General features: G+C 37.8%; 1 long non-coding RNA gene and 1 other non-coding gene across 2 annotated transcripts in view, besides 3 other annotated features; one reads left to right on the plus strand and one right to left on the minus strand.

Moving 5' to 3' along the window:
- Nucleotides 716–815: an enhancer, noted in NCBI's record as "active region_1603". NCBI's record gives its function as "activates an Ori minimal core promoter by ATAC-STARR-seq in GM12878 lymphoblastoid cells {active_cell/tissue: GM12878}" and the evidence as "EXISTENCE:reporter gene assay evidence [ECO:0000049][PMID:35858748]".
- Nucleotides 1,066–1,395: a silencer, noted in NCBI's record as "silent region_1251". NCBI's record gives its function as "represses an Ori minimal core promoter by ATAC-STARR-seq in GM12878 lymphoblastoid cells {active_cell/tissue: GM12878}" and the evidence as "EXISTENCE:reporter gene assay evidence [ECO:0000049][PMID:35858748]".
- On the minus strand, nt 1,169–1,335 carry RNVU1-19 (RNA, variant U1 small nuclear 19). Its single transcript, NR_104086.2, has one exon. It is a non-coding gene; the product is annotated as an RNA, variant U1 small nuclear 19 (small nuclear RNA).
- Nucleotides 1,501–2,345: an enhancer, noted in NCBI's record as "H3K27ac hESC enhancer chr1:147993136-147993980 (GRCh37/hg19 assembly coordinates)". NCBI's record gives its function as "activates a minimal SCP1, AML or CMV promoter by ChIP-STARR-seq in naive H9 embryonic stem cells {active_cell/tissue: H9 hESC(naive)}" and the evidence as "EXISTENCE:reporter gene assay evidence [ECO:0000049][PMID:30033119]".
- Nucleotides 24,166–27,931, plus strand: part of LOC124904393 (uncharacterized) — a 38,233-nt gene continuing 34,467 nt past the window's right edge. The window contains exon 1 of the long non-coding RNA XR_007066511.1: nt 24,166–24,323. This is a non-coding gene — a long non-coding RNA (uncharacterized LOC124904393). The remainder of the gene's footprint in view (nt 24,324–27,931) is intronic.

The following is a 27,931-nucleotide window of genomic DNA, read 5'->3' on the forward strand; positions in this document are numbered from 1 at the left end:
CGCTGGAGAAAGTGTGGAGGGAAGCGAGGGCTGCACCTGCATGCAGGAGCTGAGGCAAGCGGCGGTTCCCAGCTCTCAGTGCAAAAGACATTTGTCATCTGAGAGGCTGGACTCAGTTATTATAATTTTCAATTTTGTCAATAAAAACCGAATGGAAATTTGTTTTCTTACTTGTAGAAACCTCCTCACAAGACCTCCCATCTTACATTCCAGGGAGAATTAGCAGGGTATTCCGCCAAGACATAGGTTAGACTGCGGTTCTGACCTGCAGGCCTCGATGCCCTGCGCCAGGGCACCAGGGCATGGGCAAAGCCCTCCCCCTACACAAAGCAAGGGTGTTATGTCTACAACCGAACGGGGACACTAAGAGCCCCCAACATGCACGGTTTTCATTCCAAAGAAAACCACCAGTTCTGAGTACAACTTCCACCTGGCTCTATTAACTGAGTACACGTTTCCCCAACACAGAAATCCTACAAACTCCCGTGAATGCTGTGGTGAAAAGCAGGAGCTGCCAGGGCAAGATGGATCGCACCTGTAATCCCAGCACTTCAGAAGGCTGGGCGGACCACTTGAGCCCAGGAGTTGGAGCCCAGCCTGAGCAGAATGGTGAAACCGCTACGAAAAAAGAAAAAGAAAGGAAAGAGAAAGAAAAGAAAAGAAAAAAAAAGAGAAAAAACTAGCCGGGTGTGGTGGCGTGTGGTTGTCCTACTCGGGAGCCTGAGATGGGAAGATCGCGCCACTTCTCCAGACTGGACGGTACAGCGAGACTTGTCTTAGGGAGGGGGGGAAAAAAACAACAAAAAAAACAGAGGCTAAGAGGTAACTCCGAGGATGACAGAAAACACCAGAGTTTTTAAGAGATGTTAGAAGCCCTGGGAGCACTGAACAAACCAGAAAGCTCCCGACCCTTGATCCCTGAGCTCCACCTAGCAAGTACAGCGGCAGCTAACCTGGGAGAACACCCCAACCAACAGAGACTGAAATTCGCCTCCCAAGAGAGTAAGTGGATAGTTCTAAGCTGTCCCCAAACATGGCCTCACAAACGAAAACTAACCGTTGCGAACGGAAACAACTGACCGGACAGAACACAGCCACAAAACACGAGCCCGCACCCTGAATTACAAAAACACTTACGGCTCACCTACTATTCGCACCACAAAAGCACCAGAGGAAAGCGCGAACGCAGTCCCCCACTACCACAAATTATGCAGTCGAGTTTCCCACGTTTGGGGAAATCGCAGAGGTCAGCACATCCGGAACACAATGGATAACCCTCGCCCTGAGAAAAACCACCTTCGTTTGATAATAGTATCTCCCCTGCCAGGTAAGTATAAGCTTTTGCACCTCCGCCCCGCCACAGCCTCACACGCTTCACCCTTTACACGCACGGTCACTTGCCCCGCGCACCTCCCCGCCCCCCCCAGCCCTCCTAGCCCTGACACACAGCTGGGACTCTCAGGTCCGACCAGCGGTCCTGAACCCACTCCCACGGCACGGGAACTCCTTAGTGGCGAAGCAGCAGCCCCTGCGCTGCCTCATCTACATAGAAATCGCCCTATCCGTGATGTCACTGACAGCGCCTTTCCCAGTCCCCGTCTGCTCTTCCGCCCCACCCTCCGCCGACTCAGCCGATCAACCCGCTGCCGGAGCTGGCGAAGGAAGTGACGTCTGTCTCTTTCTCCTTTTCCTCCTGCCATTGTCCTTTGGGGAGGTGCGCAGAGACCCCGCGTCTGGTCTCCCCCTAAGACTGTGGTACTTGATCTGTGTCCTGCAGAGAACCCTTCTGGCGGCCAACAGGAAGCTTTTGCACCCTTCTTCAGATAATGTCTTTTAATGCGCAGACTTGAACGTTTAGGATTACAAGGAAAACCGGTTCCTTTCAAACCTGTTTATCTTTGTGATGTAGCATTCCGCTTCAAGTTGAAAGCCATTCAATGTCAGAGAGAAAACATATCTATGAAACCAGAGAGGCTGCTCAGATGGGTTGCAAACTAGCCATCCTTACTGGTTTTACCACTAGAAGTGTTACAAAGACAGTTGTCCAATTTTATGAATCTTGAAGGGTTTTTTGTTGTTGTTGTTATTTCAAATACAGTGTAATACAAAAATATGTGGCCCCCGCAGAGACGATTGGACACTCTCAGGCATGGTGATGGAGTTTGTCATCTCTTCCACGGCCATCTCAGAACCTTAGTGCTTACCTCATATTAGTATTTTATATTCTCCAAAGACACAAAAATAATCCCAATTTGACAAAACAAACAAGCAAAAAAACATCTAGGGCATGTCTTATTTGAGGCGCTTAACAAATGACTGGATCATCTCCCTTGTATATAACCCAGAAAACACTGTGAAGTAGAGCAAAATTGGAAAGCCCAAGTCAAAGACCATTTGCAAATTTCAAGTAGATTCCAGTCTGTTGCTCAAATCACAAAACATGAAATGGAGGGGTCTCCCTTGGAGACCATAAAGTCTGTGACATGGTGGCCAGTTGGGTCACTGGAAAACATGGCAAAATATTGAAAATGAGGGATTAGGTGAGAGTGTAGCAACTGAACACTAAATGCTTGATCCAGGTGCCATTCCCTGGATACTGACAGGGAGACACATTGTCCAGGTAATACTGGAAAAAGGGGGTGGGCACAGTGGCTCATGCCTGTAATCCCAGCACTCCCTCAGGAGGCTGGCAGATTGCCTGAGTCCAGGAGTTTGAGACCAGCCTGGGAAACATGGTGAAACCCCATCTCTACAAAAAAAAAAAAAAAAAAAAAAAAAATTAGCCAGGCATGGTGGTGAGCACCTGTGGTCCCAGCTACTCAGGAGGCTGAGGTGGGAGGATTACTTGAGCCTGGGAGGTGAAGGTTGCAGTGACCCAAGCTTGCAACACTGCACTTCAGCCTGGATGACAGAGGAATGGGCCTTCACTAGACACTGAACCTGCTGGCAACTTGATCTTGGACTGACCATCCTCCATAACTGTGAGCAATAAATTTTTGTTGTTTATAAGTTACTCACTCTGTGGTATTTTGTTATAGCAGCACAACTGGATTAGGACATCAACCTGACCTTAAGAAATCATCTCAATTCAGTCTTGGCTCTGGTGGGAAACAAGGGACACACTCGGATGTGTGATTTAAAGAGAGTTGTGGTTTTTTTTTTGTTTTTTTTTTTTTGAGATGGAGTCTCGCTCTGCTGCCCAGGCTGGAGTGCAGTGGTGCCATCTCGGCTCACTGCAAGCTCCGCCTCCCGGGTTCACGCCATTCTCCTGCCTCAGCCTCCCGAGTAGCTGGGACTACAGGCGCCCGCTACCACACCCGGCTAATTTTTTGTATTTTTAGTAGAGAGCGGGTTTCATCACGTTGGCCAGGATGGTCTCGATCTCTTGACCTCCCAAAGTGCTGGGATTACAGGCGTGAGCCACCGCGCCCGGCCTAAAGAGAGTTTTATGAAGAGAATATTTATAAATATAATATGGACAGGATCAAAACAACCCAACCAAGGACTGAGAGGCGCTCAGAATCTGGAATCAGCAGAGAAGTTGTATTGCCTCTAGGACTGGATTGTTGTATAAGTCTGTTCAGGTTGCCATAACAACCTGGACAGGACCGTAGTCCTGTCCAGTGATCCTCCCCAAGACAACCGTTCTCTCTAGTAACTATGGTTTTCCTTTCACATTTCAATTGTCACCTCAATTGACTGAAATGTGAACACCAACTCCCGCACTTAAATGTTGAAGCCCTAACACCTACTGTGATGATTTATGCAGCTGGGGCCTTTGAGAGGTAATCAGGATTAAAAGAGGTTATGAGAGTGGTGTCCTCATGCTGAGATTAATGCCATTACAAGAAGAGAGACACTAGAAAGCTTGCTTGTCCGCCTTCCCCCTGGTGCACGAAGAAATGGTCACATGGGCACACAGTGAATCTACAGCCACTTACAGGCCATAGGAAGAGACCTTAGAAAGAAATCCGCTTTGCTACCACCTTTATCTTGGACTTCCCAACTTCCAGAAGTGTGAGAAATACATTTCTATAGTTTAAGCCACTTGGTGTATGGTATCTTGTTATGGCAACCTGAACAGACTTATACAACAATTAAGTTGCCTTTCCACTGATGGACTTAGACACAATCTCTTTCCCAAAAAAGAGCTATATTTAGCTACTTTTCTTTTGCATATTGTTCCATTTGCAGCCACACTATTTGTCTTCCCCCACACCACTTCTATCACCAGGAATCCATTTTCCTTGTTTTCTTTTTAATATCGGGAGCCTCTGCTCACTGCACTGCATAGTCCTTGGGGCTTTTTTTAAACTTTATTTTTAACAATCATTTGAGCAGAAAGTAGCCAATTCAGTTCTTTAATTTCCCATTTTATTCTTGGTTTGAAACTGACCTGATTGTGTCCCTTTTGTTATGACCAGTTACTTAGAAGCCATACAGCCCACAAGGTACCCTTGGGTATAAATCCAACTTCTTCATTTTAATGGTGAGAAATCAAAAGCCCATGTTTCCTGATTTCTGGCCCAGCACTGGAACTGTTTTCATGGCATGTCAATTCATCATACATTTTAATAGTGATATTTTATATTTGCATAATTTTATTGCCTTTGCAATGGGCTTTCACATCTATCTTCTCATGTGTATATAGTTTAAAGGCCATTTTTACCCACTATCTCCTAATCATATCGACCACAGCCTCAGGAAATGTCTGCTCTATTATTTCACTTGCCTGTCTGGGTTCTTGGGCAACAGCATAGAATCCTGCACTGTGTTTTCCCTCACGCTTTCTCACTCTCTGCAGAACAAATTTTTGTTACATGCCTTATTATCATGGTAATATTGGCCTTCAGTCCTGTATAGAAGCATTAAAAATGTGCATAATGTATATCCTTTTAAAATGTTATCCTAAGAAGCATCTTTTTGGAGTTAAGGAGAGTTAGATGAATAAAGAAAGAATACAGTTTCTCCTAAACAAACCCACTAAGAAAATCATGGAAAGAATTATGACAACTATGAAAATGAAGGAGGTATACTTTGTCAACAAAAGCAAAATAACCAAGCTACTCTTAGACATAATCTCACATTATCTTTCTGTAGTGCTCTAGCATTTTCTAAGCCTTTTCACACACTGTTATCTCTTTTTTTCTTTCTCCTTCTAGAAATTAATTATGACTTTTCCTTTCAAAAATGAAGGACTTTTTTTTTTTTTTTACTCTTTTCATTTTTTCCTGAGACCATATGTCAAAGGGAATGTGAGGAACAACTTTGGTGTGGTAATAGCCAAATTTCTCCAGGCCTGCTCCTCAAGCTTGCAAAGTCAAGACTGGCAGAAGTGGTGATTTTTACCTGGGTATCCTGAGAACCTTGCACAGTCCTTATCACATGCATGTGTTCAGAGTGTGCAAATAAATGAAGAAATGTGAGATTGTGATGATATTTTCATGGCATGCTTTTTTTCCACACTTCCTCATGCAGCCCAACATCCTCTACACTGTGTTGTTCTACCCGTTTAAGTGATTTACCACTTCTCCATTAAGCCAACTTAAACCATGTAGCCTTCAACTCAACATTGATTGATCCCCAATACAGTCCTGTAGGGAGGCAAGAAAACTTACAAATGAAGTGGTAAAGAAAGAGAGAGATTAAGTAATTTGCCCCAAATCTCATAACCACTAGGTGATAAATCTTCAACTAGAACTCAAATATCTGGCTGAGAATTCAGTGCTCTTTTAATTTAAATCACATTGCTTCATAAAAATAGATCTGCAGGAAGAATAAAAATGTCCAAAGTGCAATGAGAGAGAAGATAATATGGAGACAGAAATATTGCACAGAAAGCATTTGACCATATGTCTGCCTGATCCCCTTCATGTGTCTTGTTCATAACTTACTTTACTCGGGCAGCAGGAGATAGCATAACAACTGTCAGAGTGAATTTAGGCCACAGTTTTGTGTTGCTGAATGTGTTGAGTCATTTCCCTTAGTTCACATTTCTACCTAACTTTATCTTTTAAGTCATCATCATGCCTTTAATCTCTTATTTATTTTGACTGTTGAGATTTTGTAGCCATTATCCAAATAAAACATTTATTTTCACTCGTGAGTCCCTAATCCTTCCTCAATGGAATTAGCTATTTATTTGATGCAATAGCTAGACCAGTAGGGTTAAAAATGCTTTTATAAAGACATTAATAGCTGGGTATGGTGATATGCACCTAGGGAGGCTATGGCAGGAGGATCACTTGAGTCCATGAGTTTGAGGCCAATGCCTTCGCAACATAGTGAGACCCTGTCTTTAAAGTAAAAATTTAAAAATTAAAAGAAAAGACATTTAAAAAGGCTGTTTACCAAAATGATGGTTAATTGACAGAAAATAGAAACTGAAACTAGAAATCATTGCCATCAGCTTTCTCTAATGTGTACTTGATCCTTTTCTCCCTGTGATGGAAGTCGAAAGTCTTTTTGTTTTTTTCTTAATCCACTACTGTTCAAATGAGAATAAACAGCCAAATGACTGAATTAGTTGGTAGACATAATTCCTAGTCTTCAATTATTTTTATATTCTTTTGTAATACAGTCATTATTTTTTCAGACTTCTATAATATTGCATTTAACCAATCCCCAAATAGGGAAACATTATGTAATTTTTCTATTATTTACAGTTCCTTGATTATAATCTTTTATTTGAAAAGATTATATATTTATATAAAAACCCAGTTTCTTTCTTACATATAAATATTATTAGTAGTCTAAAAATGTCACTCTCAATAAACAGGATGAGTCAACTTGAGGACTAGAGAATCAGGTAGTCAACATCAGAGAACTGGTTATCAAACAGAAGGGGCCTATCCAGATAGAGAGAAGTCAGGCAGGGCTGTGCTGTGAAAATATTAGAGAAGCTTGATGGGAGGCCTAATATAGTTTGTCTTTACACCTGTATATTTTGCTTCTTGCATCTGCTTCAATGCCCTCTGTCATTTATTATAACTAGATTTATTGTTCCAATAGATTTGTACTACAGTCAGAACAAACAAATCACTGGATCCAGCAGAAGCCTTAGATATATGACATAACAGAGATTTGCACAAAGATTTGCCCCATTGCCTTCTCGAATTTCTCTTATCATCAATCCATCTAGCTGGAGCTCTCTGAAGGTCATCAGAGGTCAGTATAATTTTAATAAGATTTTAACTGAAGGATAGCCTTGATGTTCAGTGACCTTCAGACATGTTTATAATCGAGAAGCCACTCCCCCTGTTGAATGATAACCTCTTCCATGAATTACCAAACCAATGGTGCTCACATTCTGATTAACCATTGATTCCCATAAACCCAGCTTCCCCCAACACTGATGATCTAAATAACCTGAATTATTTGCATTGCCTTATCAATTCCATCTCATTTCCTGTCTTGGTGGTTTTGCTCACACTGCTTCTATGTGGAATGTCCGTATGTAGCCACTCGAGTTTCCACTTCATCGTTCCATCATCTGTAGTCTCTATACACTATCCATCATCAGGACTAATGTGAGCTGACTTTCCTCCAAAAAGCTTTCCCTGAACTTATCCTGAAATAACGTTTTTCTCTGCTAACTTACCATTTGTCACGTTAGTATACAGCTTCTCTAACTGTCATGAAATGAAATAAATGGGAAGAAGATGAAACTTGAAAAGAAATCTGCTTCTTAAGGCAGGCCCTGGGGGAATAGCCCTGGCTGGAGGTAATGTAAGGTCTAGATGGTGTTTTTAGAATCTGAAGACTGCAACACCAAACACAAGTATAAGCCTAGGCAAGCTGTCAGTGCAGGGCCTAAAATTAGGTATTTCAACAAGTGGATGAATCAATTTGGGGAATTGTATTAGTAAACAGAGGAAGCCCGTCCAGTAAAAGGGAGAGTAAGCAGGGATGCAATTTAAAACTATTGAGGAAAAAATGGCTAAGAAATAGTAAAATTAACACATGGCCTAAAATATTAAGAAATTAAGCCTGTTACAGAATTACTGACCTGGCTAGTATATAGGAGCATTAACAACACAAAAACAGATTAGGTCGGGATTAGCAGTGGGGGTGAAATAATCTTCAGGGCTGAACTACTGAGCTAGAAATATTTAAATCCTCCTTGCAGATGAGAACTATAGAGGACAATTTATTGGTTCAGCATGAATTTCTGGTCTTCTGTTAAGAAATACGCTCTTTCATTGAAAGTGAACATTGAGGCAGTAAACTCCAAATACAGCTGCAGGTACTATCTCCTGCTGATTTGTGTGTATAGAGCATGAAAGAAAGGCTCAGAAACAAAAGCATGTTGGAAAAATAAGCAGAAGGAGGCATTTACTTGCAAAGAAATGTGAGGAAGTCATTCTTCAAAAGAACTGCCCAAAAAATTAAAAAAATAGAACTTTTTAAGACAAACAATATTATGAAGACTATAGGGTTTATATTAATCTCTTCATGGCAGAAAACAGCAATTTTATCATGGTTATTATATTCAGAAAGTTCATGACATATCTTCAGACAATAAACAGCATTGTAAAGTCAAGGATAAAGTGATTTTCATTAAGGAGTTAGCAAATCTCAGGAAATGCTCAAGGTTTTATTCATTTGGAGGACTGCAGGTAGACAGAGAGACCCTTTTATTGTTTCTTTATGTCAGAGTGCAGAGTTTTTTTTTCTCTGTTTCTTCAGCAGTGGGACATGATGAATGGGCTGACAATGGTGTCAGGCCCCGATGTCACTTTGGTTTTTACACTTCATCTTGCGGTCATGTTTCCTTCTCTACAGGACATGTTTGTCTACCTCCATTTGCTGAACAATGTTCCTAATCAGTACTATTGATTTTACATTTTAATTTGATCCATTTTATTTGCACAGATCTAAGAAGTGTTGATTAATATTTAATGACCTCCTAGTATTTTTTTGATGAAACAATAAACTAAGTCTCACAAGTTTACGTCTATCTATAGATTTATAAAGCCCTTGTGGTTTAAATTTACTTTTACATGTTTAACAGCTCAGTTTAGAGCAGACCAAACCAGTCCGTTCACCTCTACCTGATTTCATCTGCAGTATTTATAATGCAAATGTATCCTTTTTAATAAAAGATATCCAATGTCTCGGTGTCCCTGCTCTGCCAAGAAAGGACATTCTTTCTTACCTCCAAGCCTGAGATTGCATAGTCCATAGAGCAAGCACCAGATTGGTTTCCTAGAAGGATGTTATAGGCATCGCTTCTGCGTGAAAAACATAGAAATTATTCTTATTACTGGATTTGTCTTGTCTAGTTAAATTGAATTTGTAGCACAGCTATAAATTTTTTATTAAAAAATTGATTCTTCCTGGCTGGGCAAGGTGGCTCATGCCTGTAACCCCAGCATTTTGAAAGGCTGAGGCCGGCAGATCACCTGAGGTCAGGAGTTTAAGACCAGCCAGGCCAACATGGTGAAACCCCGTCTCTATAAAAATACAAATAGTAGCCTAGCATGATGGTGGGTGCCTGTAATCCCAGCTACCTGGGAGGCTGAGGTGGGAGAAGTGCTTGAGCCCAAGATTGAGAGGTTGCAGTGAGTTGAGATCACGCCATTGCACTCCAGCCTGGGCAACAGAGCAAGACTCCATCTCAAAAAAAAAAAAAAAATTCTAATTAGTAATATATTCAGGTAGAAGGGAGGACAAATTCTTATTGAACCAATATAAATAACTACATAGTCACAAAAAGTAAATGTTTTTATTAAAGAAACTTTGTGCAAGATTTAACCAATATTGCTAATTAAGGGTATGTTAATAGACAAAACCAAATATTGTATGTCACAATTCTTTACAAAATAATTATTTGTATGTTTTTCTTGGCAACTTATTAGCTTTGTTTTTATATTAAGAATTTCTGCAAGGTATTTTTTCCCTCAACACTAAGAATTCAGAGTGTTTTATTTAGTTTTTACAAATTTAATAATTTGTAAATTTAATTGGAGATTAAAGGTAGATTAAGAAGAAAGAAAATGGGTTGTTCTCATGTTCATTAAAGTAGAAAATTAAACTAACCTCAATTAAATTGCCTTACTGAGGCCCTTTAATCCTAAATAACAACCTCTTGTCGTGCTGGTCTTGAGTTAAGCAGTCTACTTTCATGAATTCATCCGCTTCTACATTGTGAGTGTCTTGGAACTCCTGACTCATTTACTTCGTATAGTTGGAATATTGTCTGTGGGGACAAGGTCAGCCTATTCTTGGAGGCCTATATCCATGAGTCAATTTCCTGTGGTATCAATAGTATCAACAGTGTCTGCTACCGTTATTACTGGAGCTCTTTTGATATTTCTTCCAGATGACTCAAATTCTGATTGGCGCTTTGTAGAGAGGCTTTTAGGTATGCTTAAAGGGAAAGGAGGGCTGGGCACAGTGGCTCATGTCTGTAATCCCAACACTTTAGGAGGCTGAGGCAGGCAGATCACTTGAGGTCCGGAGTTTGAGACCAGCCTGGCCAACATGGTGAAACCCTGTGTCTACTGAAAATAGAAAAATTAGCCATGCATGGTGGCGGGCACCTGAATATAGCTACTCGGGAGGCTGAGGTAGGAGGACAGCTTGAACCCGAGAGGTAGAGTTTGCAGTGAGCTGAGGTCATACCACTGCACTCCAGCCTGGGCAACAGAGCGAGATTCCATCTAAAAAAAAAAAAAAAAAAGCAGCGGGGATAGGGGGAGGAGATGTTGCTAATAATAAAACTGTAAAGTTTGGTTAATTTTTTGCCATAGCAAACGACATCACAATGGGGGACAGTGGCATTCTCTGTTGAGGTGTAATACATACTCATCTAATGAAATTTTAATCAGTGATTACCGTAAAAGACAGAACACATGAAGAACAATTAGTGCATCCCGATACCTCTCCAGGGCCTTTAATTTTCCCCACAAAGTAGATATTATTATTTGTCACCAACTGAGAAGTTTACTTTTTTTAATCAGTTGGTTGACATTTATTGCACCAGTCTTTGTACATGAACATAAATATGCCTGAATCCAACCTGAGAAGTGCACAATTATTGTAACATAGCCACAGTAATCATACATAATTATTGCATTTAATTAATTTAAGATGATTTTATTGCTATTTTCTCAGAATATGGCCTTGAAAAACACAGCAGCTTCCACTATATTGAGCATAGTTTTGAGCCAATTAAATATCTGGAGAATGCAAAACATTACCTTTATTTCTAATATATCTTCATGTTAAGAGCTAGGAGGAGGATCTCTGGAGTTTCCCAGCAGCCATCTGAGAAACCCAGAGATACTGTATTCATAAATAACATCTCAGTAGTTTTACTATTTTGGATTTGAGGGTTAAATTTGGGGAATATGGTATCAAAAACAGTGTCACAGGTGGGGGCTGCAGATGTGAAGGGCCTGCTATCAATCAGGTGACCCTGGATGGACTACCCACTCGCTGTGTCAGTCCAGGATCCCAGCTGTAGTGGGTTCCTCTCTGCTACAGCACATGTTTCTAAAGGGCAAGAATCTGGGCTCCCAATAACTGACCTCTGTCTCCTCCATCCTGGCTTGTCATGATAGACCCGAACCACCCTCCCATTGAATTTGGGCCCTTGTGGCTCATAGCCACAAGGGAAATTGGGAGCTCACATGTGAAAGGCAGAATTAAGTTAACGCACCTTCTTCCAAAGTCTTACGTTTGTTTGTAGCCCAGGTGCCCCTGTTTCCAGCAGGAGTATTAGCAGTACCAGGCAGCCACTCCCCAGAGTTTGTGTTTCTGAGCTTTCCCATCATCAGTTAATTGGAAATTTCAGGAACTGTCCCTGCCTTACAATGCCTGCTCTGATCTACAGGTCTTTTGGAGACAGACAGCAGGTGATGGGGCATGCCAAAGAGATAAAAATGTCTTCTGATAATCAGGGGTCAGCAGATGAGTATGAAAGCTAATTATCCCCACTACTCAGGGAATTTAGAGGCTTCCCCTTTTGTCTTTGTAGGAATAGCAGACTTTCTGACTGTAATGTCCAAAGTTCTTTACAAGTTGAAGTACAGAAGAGATCAGAAAATGTCTTACGCACATGAGAGTTGTTATCCAAAGATTTGTCATAGGAGCAGCGACTCTAGGTGTTCTCTATTCTATTTAGAAGAATTACATTAGATTTTGATTCCTCAATGTGGCCAAGAAATAGAGCTACTTGCTGGGAGCAAGAAAGATAACATGACTTCTGAAAACTATTTATTATGAAAAATGAATTTTCATTATGTAGCAAATTACACTGCAGAAGTATTACAAAGAATTCTCATAGACATGGTATATTAAATCTCAAATCAATAATCATACATAGTCAATTAAAAATATCTTTGTTGATATCTTTCAGAACCTGGGAAATAATTTTCTGACTTTCAAATTTTTTAGTTTCTATTCAGTGGCAGAAAATCTATATTGTGCCAAACCAGTCTGAAAATTAGTAGTTGATTATATGCTGGACACAGAAAAATTTTCTATAACCTGTTAAATGCAACACTCCATTCATTGCTTAATTCTCCCCAAATAGCATAAGGTAATTAAGGCTTTTGTAAACTTTTTTCTTTTTTTAGAACAGCCTACAGTGACAGAGGAGAATGGTTATATTGTTAATTAAAGCTGGTTCATCACTCATGTGGTAAACCTGACTCACATGGAAACTTAACTATTTTATCACAAAGATAAATGTTTATCATTTAAATATGTATGTATTCACTTTTATACTTCTTGAAAGGATTTCTAGGAGTACAAAGTAAACTACTATAAATCTCTTTTCTCCCGGATGGCAATATTGCTGTGGGTGAGAAACAATTTAGTCCAGGAGAGCTATATCTAATCCGGTAGGACACTGTGGAGAATACAAGTGTTAAATTTTTGCTAAAAAACTAATATATGGCCGGGAGTGGTGGCTCACGCCTGTAATCCCAACACTTTGGGAGGCCGAGGAGGGTGGATCACCTGAGGTCAGGGGTTCGAGACCAGCCTGGCCAACATGGTGAAATCCCATTTCTACTAAAAATACAAAAATTAGCCAGGCATGGTGGCAGGCGCCTGTAATCCCAGCTACTCAGGAGGCTGAGGCAGGAGAATCACTGGAACCCGGGAGGCAGAGGCTGCAGTGAGCCAAGATGGCGCCATTGCACTCCAGCCTGAGGGACAAGAGCAAGACTTTGTCTCAAAAAAAAAAAAAGGCTAATATATGGAGATTGATTTATTATTTTATCAAAAAGGTAACCCAAATACTAATATGACTTTTTTGAGACCATCCATTTAACAAATTGACTAAAAGACTCAAAAGTTCTTTTATGTTTTATGCCCAAACTAATTAACATTGAGTAAAGTTAGTCCAAAAATTATAAACGTTTTATTGCTCATTTAAACTCATTATTTGCAGCTATTATAAGCTATAGCAAATGAAGTTTACTTCCCTCAGATATTCTACAATTATTGTATGCCCTTAAATTTGTATTTTAAAATTCAGTTTTATATTCTAGCAAAACTCTACAATTTGCCTTTTAGACAAAATTACTCTCTTTGCCTTGATAAGCAAAAACACATTAATTATATTGCATGCACTTTTCTAAATACTCAAACTGACTTAATTTCTTAAAGTAGTATAAAAGAACATGTGCATTAATCAGAACTAAGGGTACTTTTACATACTGTTCATTCTCCTACTTGATAGCCACTCTATAATGTGTAAAAATATGCAGCAAGGATATGTTAAAAATTTTATGAGACTTATCCAAAGATTTTTCACTAATTATCTCAATGAAATATTAGCCAAGCTCATAAAGCTAACTAGTATGTTAAAATTCATTTTAAACTGACACACTGCAGAGAATTTATACTAAAATATAAAAATTTACATGAAAATTGTGTTACATATGAAATTTGAATTTTTTACCAGGTAGGGTATGTGTGGTTTTACCTATACAGTATAATTATTTGTAGCCCCATCTCAAGTTACAGGAACAAATGTTTTAAAAAATACTAGTTTAATAATTCAATTCAGCTGAGCCTTAAATCGAGTAGGGGACATCTAGAAAGCTCTGGTAAGTTAAAATATTTTATAAACCAGAAAAATATGCTAACATTAATTCTAAGATTGTGATAAAATCAGAGAAAAAACATAATTAATTTAAACCAAAATTATCAAACCATATACATTTATCCAAGGATTTCCCATGATTAAAAATATTACTGAACTTTACTTCAGTCAAATTTTTGAAACGCTTCAATTTTGTTCTGAAGCACTGAAGTCCTTTGCGTTATGCGATTCTCTTACCCGCCTGCCTTCCCTTGCTTCTCGCCTTCTGACATAGCAACAAAGTCCATTAATTCACCTCAGAACTAAACCTCTCTATAGATTTTTTCTTCTGAGCTGCAGTTCAGCAAGTTACCTGTGCTAGTATACATAAGCCAAGGAAAACAGAAGCTCCATTAAACTTAAGAAATTGTTTAACCTAATTCATTAATTTTCTCCAGAGATAGGAAAATGTACAATAATTTGTTCAGAAGATATTTACATACATACAACAAGAAGTCATTATCAAATTCGGAGCCAGTGATGATTTTCTCCCTGCTTTATTGTAGACTTTCATATGCTATTTATTTATAGTCCTTATCCAGTCAGATTATAGATTATGGTAGAGATGTAATTTTTGAGGTTGAGTAATACTTTACTGTTGATGTATAGAATATTCCTCACAACTTATTTTAACTCATTTTTATATTTCTATGAGATTTTCCTTGTTTGGGGTTTTTTGTTTGTTTGAGAAAAGGGCTAGAGAAATTTAAATGCTTGAAAACCTTTAGAGTTTTCAGAAGCACCCAGAACTTCAAAGAAACACAAAGCTATTCTCATTAATGCTTTCTTAAGACAAATAAAGCAAAGCCCTACCAACAGTTAGAGCTCTCCATTTTTCAAGCTATGCAAGATTGTCTCCAATAGTTATGGCTTCAGCAGTGGTTCAACTTGAGTGTGCATCAGAACCACCTGCAAAGCCTAATTAAACGGATTCCTTGGCTCACTTGGCAGTATATGACTCAGTAGGTAAGATTTGAGAATTTGCATATCTAACAAGTTGCCGGGTAATACTGATACCGATGTCTAGGGACTATGAGAATCACTAACCTAGAGTGTTTAAAAAATGACCAATTTCTGTGCCCAATTATCTGCCAAAGTTTCCTAAGAGAAGGAAAACAGCAACAAACAAACAAACCAAAACAGAGAGAAACTGAGAGAAACAGCCACAACTGGAAACTAGTAACACAAAAACAAACCATTGTAAAAGCTAATTAACTTATTTTCATACCAATGGGGAAAGATTTTTATTTCATTTTGGACCCACAAAAAGCTTTAGGAGTTTTTTCATGTGCCAGAAGGAAGCACATAACCTCCAAATTCACAATCTATTCTTTGCCCGTTTGCTGTAGTTACTCTTCGTACCAAAGGTTCTGAGTCTGGAGTCTCTGCTTCCACTCGTCAGATAGACTTTCTCCTTACATTGTGGTCTCTCACTGAATGTTCTCACCCACTGCTTCCTCACTACGTAATATCTGCCCAAGAAGCTCCTGTCTTCTCATTCTCCCATCCCATATGCTGACATTCTTTCCAGTCCCTGCATTGTTATGAGAGCTCAGTGGGGGAGGGAGCTGAATGTCTGTATTCAGTCCACAACTACGATCTAGGATACTCTGTATTAACCATAAATAATTGATGCAAGTTTCTTCCACTCAGCCATAGCTGAGCCAGATTACCCGCAATGCTATCTCATCCCACCACAGTCTCTACGACTAATTTCTATTATACAAGGTAAGATCAACATTTGAAGTGATTGAGTTTAAACATAAAAAGATGTATTGGCTCCTGCGACTGGGCAGTCTTCAGGGTTAGTTGCTTGAGTGATCAACGATACCATTAAGATTATGATTGGGACATGAAAAAAAGAACTGGCAAATAAGGAGAGAACTTTGACCATAGAAAGGCATTTAATCCTTGTGTTGTTTTGAGCGCCCTAAAGGAAAAGACAAATTAAAGGCAGATCCTAACAGAACTATTAACAAAGAAGGAAGAGGGTGAATGAGACTCTTGAATCAAAAATTCTTAATTCTTAACTCCACCTGTGAAATCTTACTTAATCTGGTTATACTAAGAATAATCATCACACCATTCTGTCTCACATTCTAGAAGGCTTTGTAGTGGTAGAACTGTAAACAACATATAAACATTTCTGAAATATTGTGGTTGTTTTATCTTCCATAAGCCTCACACAAGCCGTGTGTATGATCATCCATCTTCTGGGCCATTATCTGATTATTGCTGCTATCTCTCGCTTTGGGGAAAGGAGAGTCTCTTTCCTTATCAATAGTATTGGATCAGCTCTTCTAATTTCATGATGACATGAGTGTTCAGGAATGATGGAAGGCAAATGTAACTCTGAGAAAACTTTGTTTAACTACTGCATTTCACAAGTCCATATCCATCCTAGAAGATCTTCCAGCCTGCTCTCTGCCTTGCTCCCAAGATGGCCACATGTAGGTCTCTTCTTTCCCATAACCAGAGGGTTATAGATTATATTATCTTTCAAAGTCTGGGATAAACCAATTTCTCACTCTAAAGAGAACAACGTGTTTTGATTTTTCCAACCCTAACCCTAGCCTAAAGTCTACCTTCTAATCCTATCTTTATTATAAATGTCCCTGGATTGATCTTTCAAGGGATTTTTGCCTACTGAAAAAATATTACTCTCACTCAAAGAATTGTGGCCTGACAAGAAATCTACAAGAGTCTTGGACACAGAGGCCAAAACATCATAACGTCTGGATTATTCAGGCTAAAGTAATATCACCTGTTGGTTACCCACAGCCCAGTCCTCAGCTTCAGACAATGCCGGAGTCACTAGTGTTCTGTTTTCTTTCCTCTATCATTCCTATTCAAAAATTCTAAAAATTTGGAGTTCCATTTCTCTTAAGAAGACATGAATACATTAGTACAGTAACATATTTATCTCTACTTCCTTGAAATTTTATTGAGAAATCCATCATTTTCCAAACTTTTCTTTCTATTGGTGTAAAACAGGGATGAATGGCCATGAGCACTTCATTGCCTCATCTCAGGTGACACTTTTCTGCCCTTTGAAAAGCCTATAATGTACTTTATAATGTAGTTTAACTTTTCCACTTCACCTCATGTAAACAAACTGATTTTCCAACTTATCAATACAGTATGAACATTTCTCCAAGTCAATTAACAAAAAGAGGAAATATCACTTTAAATGAATGCACAGTTTCTCTATATAGAGAAAAATAATATGTGTGCATATATGCATGTGTAAATATATGTATATGACTAAATTCTACAAGTTTTTAAACTATCTTTTTACTGATGGAGACTCATCATGATTTTTTTCCCCCTGTACTACAAACAAAGTAGCCATAAACATTCTAACATTCTGGAGTATGGTATCCCTTATATGAAATGCTTGGGACCAAAAATATTGTAGATTTTGGATTTTTTCAAATTTTGAAATATTTTCATATCATAACATGATATGTTAGGAATGAGACCCAATCTAAATTTATTTACATTCCCTACATATAGTATACATGTAGCCTGAAGGTAATTTTATGTATTTGTAAAATTTTGTGCAAGAAACAAAATTTTGACTGTCTTTTGGCTGTGACCAGTCATATAATGTCATATGTGAAATTTTTCACCTGTGGCATCATATCAGTGCTCAAAATGTTTCCAATTTTGAAGCATTTCAGATTTCAGATTTTTTAGTTGACCTTGGAACAACATGGGTTTCAACTGTGCAGGTCCGCCTACACTGGTATTTTTTTAAAAAAATAAATATATCAGAAAAAGTTTTGGAGAATTGCAATTGAAAAAACTAGCAGACTAACTGCATAGCCTAGAATATAAGAAAAAAATTAAGAAAAAGCTATGTACATCCTGAATGCATAAAGTATATGTATATGTTAATCTATTTTATCATTTACTACCATAAAATATACACAAATCTATTATAAAAAGTTAAAACTTATCAAAATGTATGCACACAAACCGTACAAGTCACTATTTGCAGTCAAGAGAAACATAAACAAACATAAAGATGCTGTATTAAACCACAACTGCATACAATTAACTATAGCACATACTGTACTACCCAAATAATTAGTTTTATTTTATTTTTATAAATGTGCTAGGTACAAGCATACTTTTATTATATGATTGTTTTGTTATTTGGATATATTGCTAGTGGTGAAGTCTGAGCTTTTACTGTACTCATCACCCCAATAGTGAACATTGTACCCAATAATAATTTTTCAACCCTCACTCCCCTCCAACCCTGGCATCTTTTGGAATATTCTCCAGCGTCTACTTTCCAGTGTATGTACTATTATAATAATTTTGTAGCCACCCCCTGTTGCTACTGTGGTGAGCTCATGTTGCCAGTATCTGCCATGAGCACTTGGTCTCTTCAGTAAATTCTGTATCTAAGTAAATAGTGTGTTCTCTCACAGTTCTCTTTTCATTGTGCTTAGTGTAATACTATAAATCTTGAATAACACCATGAGACCAATACAAAGTGCCACAAGTGATGCTGGGAGTGCTCCCAAGAAGCAGAGAAAAGTTGTGACATTATGAGAAAAAGTTAGATTGCTTCCTATAGATTGAGTTCTTCAGCTGCCTGCCATTTCAAAATAAATGAATCCAGTGTAAGGTCCCTTAAAAAAAAAAAAGAGAAATTCATAAGGCCTCATTTCATGCCAACAGGCATGAAAACCTTGTCCTTTCTTATCTCATATTCAAAATGCAGCTTTTATGTGGGGTACAGAATTGCTATAAGAAAGACATACCTATAGACTCTTATTTGATTCAAGAAATAGCGAAGTCATTATTTGACAACTTAAAGTAAAAGCAAGATGAAAGATCTAAAGCTGGAGAATTTAATGGCAGCAAAGGATGATTTGATAATTTTAGAAAGTGGTTTGGTTTTAAAAATGTCAGGATAATGGGAGTAGCAACTTCTGCCAACCAAGAACCAGCAAGTGAATTCTCAAATGCCGTTAAGAAAAACATTGAGGAGAAAGGATATCTGCCTGAATAGGTATTAATGCAGCTGAAAGTGCCCTATTCCAGGGGGAAAAATAAAAGCCACAAAGGTCATTTATTAGTAAGGAAGAGAAGCAAGCACCAAGATTTAAGGCAGGAAGGGATAGGCTAACTCTACTGCTTTGTGCAAATGTAGTCGGGTTTATGATCAGGGCTGCCCTTAACTATAAAGCTGCTAACCCCTGAGTCTTGAAAGGGAAAAGAGAAACACTAGTTGCCAGTCTTTTGGTTGTACAACAAGAAGGCCTGGACTATGAGAATGCTTTTTCTGGATTAGTTCCATCAGTGCTTTGTCCCTGAAGTCAGAAGTACCTTGCCAGTAAGGGACTGCTTTTTAAAGTTTTTTGTTGTTGTTGTTTAATTGGAAAATGCCCCCTGGCCACCCAGAACCCCATGAGTTCAACACCAAAGGCACTGAAGTGTTCTCCTTTTCCCCCAAACACATCTCTACTTCAGCCTCTAGATAAGGGAGTCATAAGGACCTTTAAGGCTCTACATATGGCACTCTATGGAAAGGTTTGTCAACATTGCAAAAGAGAAACCCAATACAGAGAACATCATGGAAGTCTGGAAGGCTTACACCTTTCAAGATGTCATCAGTTGATATAGAAAACCATGAAACTCAAAACAATAAATTCCTGCTGGACAAAAGTACAATTTGTGTCCAGATGTTGTGCATAGCTACAGAATTACGACAAACCCAATTTAGAGAAAACCATGGAAAGAAGTATGGATATGAAGGGAAAAAAAGGTGTGGAGTGAAGGGTTGCAAGATATGGATCTTGGAGGAATTTAAGAGCTAATACACACCACACCAGAGGAATTAACAAAAGATGACTTCATGGAGATGAGTGCTTCCTAACCAGTGCCAGATAATGAGGAAGAAGACATAGGAAAAGCAGTGCCAGAAAACAAATTGGCATTCAACAATCTGGCAAAAGAGCTTTGATTATTCAAGACTACTTTTGACTTCTTTTATGACATAGACCGTTCCATGATACAGGAACTGAAACTAAAGCAAATGGTGGAAGACGGATAGGTACTACACTGAAATGTTTTTAGAGAAATGAAAAAGCAAAATAGACAGAAATAATGATGTATTTTTGTAAAGTTTCACCAAGTGTGCTTGCCTCTTTTGCTTCCCCTTCCATCCCTTCACCCTCTTCCACCTCTGCTACCCTAAGACACAAAGACCAGCTCCTCCTCCTCCTCCTCTGCCTACTCAACATGAAGACAACAATGATGAAGACCTTTAGGATGATCCACTTCCACTTAATGAATGGGTCATATATTTTCTCTTCCTTACAATTTTCTTGATTATAATTTCTTTTCTGTAGCTTAGTTTATTGTAAGAATACAGTATATAATACACATAGCATGCAAAATATGTCTTAAATGTAACGCATGTTATCAGTAAGCCTTCTGGTCAACAATAGGTTATTAGTTTGGGGGGAATCAAAAGTTGTATGCGGATTTTTCACTGTGTGGGAGGCCAGCTCCCCTAACCCTATGTTGTTCAAGGGGCAACAATATTCTTTCTCACTGGCACTTTACTTTCCATAAATTCAAATCCCAAAAGTAGAACTGCAAGTTCAAAAGGATTTTTAAAAAAATAATTACTGTCAGATTACAGAAAGTTTCCAATTTACATTTTCACTACCAATGTACAATGTTGGCGTCCCTGAATCCTTATCAGCAATGAATTTTTAAATATACTATAAGAGATGAAAAAAATTTTTTTAAATTTGGAATTCCCTGATCACTAATGAAGTTAAGCATCAATATTATTCCTTTAATATGCAAATGCTGAAAATACATTTAACTATAATAGATGTCAAAAATCTGTAAATCAGGCTAGGTGTGGTAGGCACTCACCTGTATTCCCAGCCACTGGGAGACTTGAGTCCAGGAGTTCCAGACTGTAGTATGCAATGATCAAGCCTGTGAATAGCCACTGCACTCCAGCATGGACAACATAGCAAGACCCCATCTTTTTTTTTAAAAAAGAGTCTATAAGACAAAGGTCCTCATAAATTAAGAGAAGCCAAGACAGTCACTGTGACTGCAGAATATTTTAATTTTTTTTTATTATATTTTAAGTTCTAGGGTACATGTGCACAACGTGCAGGTTTGTTACATATGTATACATGTGCCATGTTGGTGTGCTGCACCCATTAACTCATCTTTTACATTAGGTATATCTCCTAATGCTATCCCTCCCCCCAGCCCCCCACCACAGAGCAGGCCACAGTGTGTGATGTTCCCTTTCCTGTATCCATGTGTTCTCATTGTTCAATTCCCACCTGTGAGTGAGAACATGCGGTGTTTGTTTTTTTGTCCTTGTGATAGTTTGCCGAGAATGATGGTTTCCAGCTTCATCCATGTCCCTACAAAGGACATGAACTCATCCTTTTTTATGGCTGCATAGTATTCCATGGTGTATATGTGCCACATTTTCTTAATCCAGTCTATCACTGATGGACATTTAGGTTGGTTCCAAGTCTTTGCTATTGTGAATAGTGCCGCAATAAACATACGTGTGCGTGTGTCTTTATAGCAGCATGATTTATAATCCTTTGGGTATATACCCAGTAATGGGATGGCTAGGTCAAATGGTATTTCTAGTTCTAGATCCTTGAGGAATCACCACACTGTCTTCCACAATGATTTAACCAGTTTACAGTCCCACCAACAGTGTGAAAGTGTTCCTATTTCTCCACATCCTCTCCAGCACCTGTTGTTTCCTGACTTTTTAATGATCGCCATTCTAACTGGTGTGAGATGGTATCTCATTGTGGTTTTGATTTGCATTTCTCTGATGGCCAGTGATGATGAGCATTTTTTCATGTGTCTGTTGGCTGCATAAATGTCTTCTTTTGAGAAGTGTCTGTTCATATACTTCTCCCACTTGTTGTTGGGGTTGTTTGTTTTTTCTTGTAAATTTGTTTGAGTTCATTGTAGATTCTGGATATTAGCCCTTTGTCAGATGAGTAGATTGCAAAAATGTTCTCCCATTCTGTAGGCTGCCTGTTCACTCTGATGGCAGTTTCTTTTGCTGTGTAGGAGCTCTTTAGTTTAATTAGATCCCATTTGTCAATTTTGGCTTTTATTGCCATTGCTTTCAGTGTTTTAGACATGAAGTCCTTGCCATGCCTGTGTCCTGAATGGTATTGCCTAGGTTTTCTTCTAGGGTTTTTATGGTTTTAGGTCTAACATGTAAGTCTTTAATCCATCTTGAATTAATTTTTGTAAAAGGTGTAAGGAAGGGACCCAGTTTCAGCTCTCTACATATGGCTAGCCAGTTTTCCCAGCACCATTTATTAAATAAGGAATCCTTTCCCCATTTCTTGCTTTTGTCAGGTTTGTCAAAGATCAGATGGTTGTAGATGTGTGGTGTTATTTCTGAGGGCTCTGTTCTGTTCCATTGGTCTATATCTCTGTTTTGGTACAAGTACCATGCTGTTTTGGTTACTGTAGCCTCGTAGTCTAGTTTGAAGTCAGGTAGCGTGATGCCTCCAGCTTTGTTCTTTTCGCTTAGGATTGACTTGGCAATGCGGGCTCTTTTTTGTTTCCGTATGAACTTTAAAGTAGTTTTTTTCCAATTCTGTAAAGAAAGTCATTGGTAGCTTGATGGGGATGGCATTGAATCTATAAATTACCTTGGGCAGTATGGCCATTTTCACGATATTGATTCTTCCTATCCATGAGCATGGAATGTTCTTCCATTTGTTTGTGTCCTCTTTTATTTCCTTGAGCAGTGGTTTGTAGTTCTCCTTGAATAGGTCCTTCACATCCCTTGTAAGTTGGGTTCCTAGGTATTATTTCAAATATTATTGTAAAACAATGAGATATTGAAACATACATTGGAGCAAACTCTTCTTCATTCTTAAATCCTTTCAGCACAGAGACAATCAACTGACTGTCTGGGTACTACCTGACCACTATTGGAGTCTCTTTCATCTGCCTGAGTCTGTGCAACAATATGAAATTATAATTTTACTATGCACCTAAACTTTCCTCAATATATTGAATTCTTACAGAATTTGAAGAGTCAAATTTTGTAAATCCAGTTACCTTTTTCCACTACTCTAGGCCTCATATACTATCTGGCCTAAGGGTTAAAGGTCCACAATTGAATAAGCCAAACTTGTTAATTTGAGGGTAAAGCATGTCAAGAAATCTGGCCTTAATGTCCAATGAACTTATGTCATATTAAGTAGCTGGATAGAAACATGCATTCCAAAGTGGATACTGTTTATCAGGCTCAGTGCTCTATTCTTGACAGTAAATCCCAGAATAGGGTGGATGCTTTAATTTTGTATTAAATAGTATTAGGTGTAATATCAAAACCACTAAGGGAACACTAATGATGAGAATAGGAACACTAGCTGTGGAGCTGGCAATTTTCTATAGAAATCCTATCTCTTTCAATTGCCTGTTTAGTGGGCAAGTGTTTCAGTTCCTATAATATCTAAATTGGAGAAAATCACCCCACCTACTTCTTCAGGTGTTATGATAATTATGAGGGATAACATCTTTTTAAGTGTTTAACACAATTCCTCACACATAGAAAGCAATAATAAACATTGGCTAGCATTGTAAGGATGGATTATTGTCTTTCAATGTGTTTTCATACATTTTCTTTCTGGGATCTTGAGTGAAACATGTGGATCTATAACAAGAACAAAATGATGTTACCTTGATGATCTCTATGTAGGGTCACACTAAAGGCATCTTAAAATATTTTGCTGGCCAACAAAAGACACCTCCTGTTCTAATTGGGCATTGTCCTTTTCTTTAAACTATGCAGACAAACAATATTATAAAGTGAGAACATCCACATAAAAAACCTAAACATAAATCTTAATAGTGAGTTCATGAAAATTCTTACTGATGAAATGGCAATGTCACAGACTGACTGTTTATGTCCCCCCAAATTTGTATATTGAAATCCTAACCCCCAAACTACTCGTGTTAGGAGATAGAGCCTTGGGGAGGTGATTAGGTCATGAGGACAAGATTCTCATGAATGGGATTTGTGCCCTTATAAAAGAGATCCCAGAGAGCTCATTGGCCCCTTCCAAAGTATGGGGATACAGCAGGAAGTTGCCATCTATGAGCCAGAAGGGTGAACCTCACCCCAGATGCTGAATCTGCCTTGATATTGGACTTCCCAGCCTGCACAACTGTAAGAAATTTCTGTTGTTTATAAGTTACTCAGCTTGTGGTATTTTGTTACAGCAGCCTACACAGACTAAGACAAGTAGCATTTTGAGGATTAAAATTTCTTCATAAATGAATAGAGTATGCCCTGTTAAACCATATTCTCAGCTAACCCCATTTACTCACTGTTCCTCTTTATTTTAGTTTCACATTTTTGCTATTTATCTCTGTAATTTCATTCATTCTTCACAATTTGCCATTCTTATACTTCGAATCATGTTATCAGTTTATAATACCTCCATCAAATGATAGTCTGCATTTGTTTATCCTTGGCTGATTCAAAACACTTGGCATAATTTCCTTAAAGGAAATCATCTTCATCTCACCTCACAACACTGTATTATTTTCAATTAATTTCCAATAAACTCTTAATTGTCCATGCTCTGTCAGAGTTGGCAGAGTTAATCCCTGTTTAAGCTAATAGGTTCAACTTCTTCAACAAACAAATCTGGCTGCTGACAAGCCAGAGTATTAATTAAATCTAGTTTCATTGCTTCTCACTTTCCTTGATCTTTCTCTCTTGTTCTTTGGGAAACAGTCACAGAGTTCTGGCGCTAATAAATACTATAAAAAGTAGGAAATACAGTCTAAAGAAGCAGAATATTCTGTTTAAAGTTGATGTGGTGCTTTTTGTGCACCAAGCATTGGCTCAAAAGCCTGAAAATTAGGCAGCAATACTTCCTAAGCTCATCTTCAACCATAAGGCAGAAAAGCCAAACATATCTGAAAATATAATATCACTGGTACCTTATACCAGCACTAAGAATAAGAAAACCCTGGAAAGTGGCTCAAGTACAATATTTTTCTATTGGAATTAATTTTTCAAAATGGAAAGGACTTCATTGTTATTTTTATTATAAAATTAGTATATGTTTATTATTAAAAATAAGTACAAAAATCTCTAAAAGAAAAAGGGAAAAATTACCAGCAGTTCCACATTCCAGATATCATCACTGTTAGCATTTAGGATACAAATATCCAAACACTTTTTCTATCAATACATTTAATTTTTAAATTTGACCATTACGCAATGTACACATGCACTAAAGCACCACACTGTACCCCATAAACATGTGCAATTATTATGTCAATTAAAAACAAAATAAAAGCATTTTACAAAAAATCATGTTATTTTTAATAACTTGTTTTTCTAATTTTATACACCATAAAATAAATGTCTTTACATGACATTTATTTTATGATAATAACTAATTTACTCATTTAAACAGCAAGGTACATTTCATTCTACAGATATACTATATAATATTTACTCTGATCTCTGGATGAGAATTTATGTTGCCTGTAAATATTGTATCACAAACATTATAAGAATAATCTCTGTAAAGGTTTTTTTCCTGTATTATTATTTGGGTAGAAAAATTACTAGAAATAGAATAACTGGGTCAAAGATTAAAGACAATTTAAATTTCAATATATAGAATCAAATTATTCTCCAAAATATTGTACTCTACAGTATTTGAATTTTGATTTTTTTCTCCATTTTCACTACTGCCAATAACTTTAATCTTTGTCGATAAATGAGACAAAAAAGACGAATAATGCAATATTATACAAGGGAGATTAATAGGTAGAAAAAGAAATGTAATGGCCAGGAGTAACAGAAGATGTTCAACATCAATCCAATCAAATTAGTCTTTAAAATGCAATAGCAGTCAATGTTAGCAAGAGTGTAGGTATTAGACATTCTCATAGGAATATAAACTAGGGCCATGTTTTAGGATCATATTAGATCGCAGCAATTAAAAAATGTTAAATTCATATGTTCTATAGCAACTTTTCAGGTTGGAATTTATCACTTGGAGAATCTTGTAAAATACATAAACCAAGATATGTTATTAATGTTATTGGTAGCCTATTGTTTAAATAAAAAATATATTTATACAATACAGTTGTTAAAAGTTAAGAATATCTTGAAGGTAAATTATTAAACAAAAATAGAAAGCCTAGGCCAGGCAAGACTTCATGTCATGCTTGTAATCCCAACACTTTTGGAGACTGAGGCTGGAGGATTGCTTGAGCCCAGGAGTTTGAGACCAACCTGGGCAACACAGTGAGACCTCATCTCTAGAAAAAAAAAAATACAAAGCTTAGTTCTGAACATCCTTTTGTGTAATACTAAAAGATAAAATTTTATTTTCTAACTTGTTTAAGATCTATATTCTATACGGGGGATGTGTATTAAGGTCATTTTTAAAAAGGTACTCAAGAAATTGTCAACAGTGATTATCTTAAGGAGAGATTCTAGATGTCTGGGGGTAAGAGACTAGAGGAAAGAGAATTTTATATTTCATTTTTACCTTTATTTAATTTTTTGATTTTCTTACTGGGTGCATGAATTATATTTTTATGTCAGCATGTTTTATCAGATAAATAAAATTATGAGCTATTTCTGTTTTCTCTCATTTGTTTTATGTTTAAATAAAGGAAAATGAGATATGTCTTTTTAAATTAGATAATCTTGAGTCCATGATTATTATGAAAGCCCTCTGTTATCTTTTTCCTTCCTTTCACAATGACTATTTATGTTGTAGAATCATTAATTTCTCAAGACAAATGTCTTAGAAGGTAGATACAAAAAAAGGTATACATTTTTTGATTCAAGCTAATTTCATGTTATGAACAAAATTACGTAATGTCATTTCTAAGACCTTTCTGTGATCTATCAATCCACTAGGTTAAAGAGCAGAAATCACTTCCAAAACAAATCCTTTTGCAGTCAGCAAAATGAAGCAATTATATGAATAAGTTTTTCCACTTGGCCTATTTTTCTACCCAGGGTTATTAATCAGTCTCATTGACTACATTTTCCGTTTTACATCCCCTTTCAGGCACTACTGCAGATGGCCAAGCATATCACATTATGTAAATAAAATAAAACAAAATCTTCTCCCATTGAGCAAATGGATATACTTCACCTCTAATGCTTCCAGTCTTTCTCAGATCATTCAAAAAGCATGATATGGTTTCCATAAAAGGACATTCATCCCATTTGACTAACTGGAATTTCTTTACTCCAGCTAATCTTTACCAAAGAGCTGAATTAATTCAAGTTGACACCCTGTTATCTACCAGCTCTTCCAGCCCTTTTGCTTGATTGTTTTGTCATTTTGTCTTTTCTTTTCTTCTAAAGTGGGAGTATGGAGATTTACCCTTCTGAAACAGCTGTGTCACATCATGATCCTTGAGGATATCAGCTCTTAACTGGCTGCACATCAAAATCACTGTTTCCTTTGACCAATACTCTAGACACACTCAAGCAGAGATTCTGGATTCTGATTTAATTGACACAGAGTAGGGCCTGGGCATTTTTACAGCTCCCCACATGATTCTATTGTGCCTCATCTATCCTAGCCCTTAAGCAGGACCAAACATTTGTTCTATCTTAATTATTATTCTCTTAAACTTAGTCCAATTCCTTACAACTGATAGCTTTCTATATACTCATCTGCCTTGAGTGATGACAATTGATATGGTTTGGCTGTGTCCACACCCAATCTCATCTTGTAGCTCCCATAATTCCCACATGTTGTGGGAGGTGCCCAGTGGGAGATA

This window comes from Homo sapiens, chromosome 1, assembly GCF_000001405.40.
Source record: "Homo sapiens chromosome 1, GRCh38.p14 Primary Assembly".
NCBI lineage: Eukaryota > Metazoa > Chordata > Mammalia > Primates > Hominidae > Homo > Homo sapiens.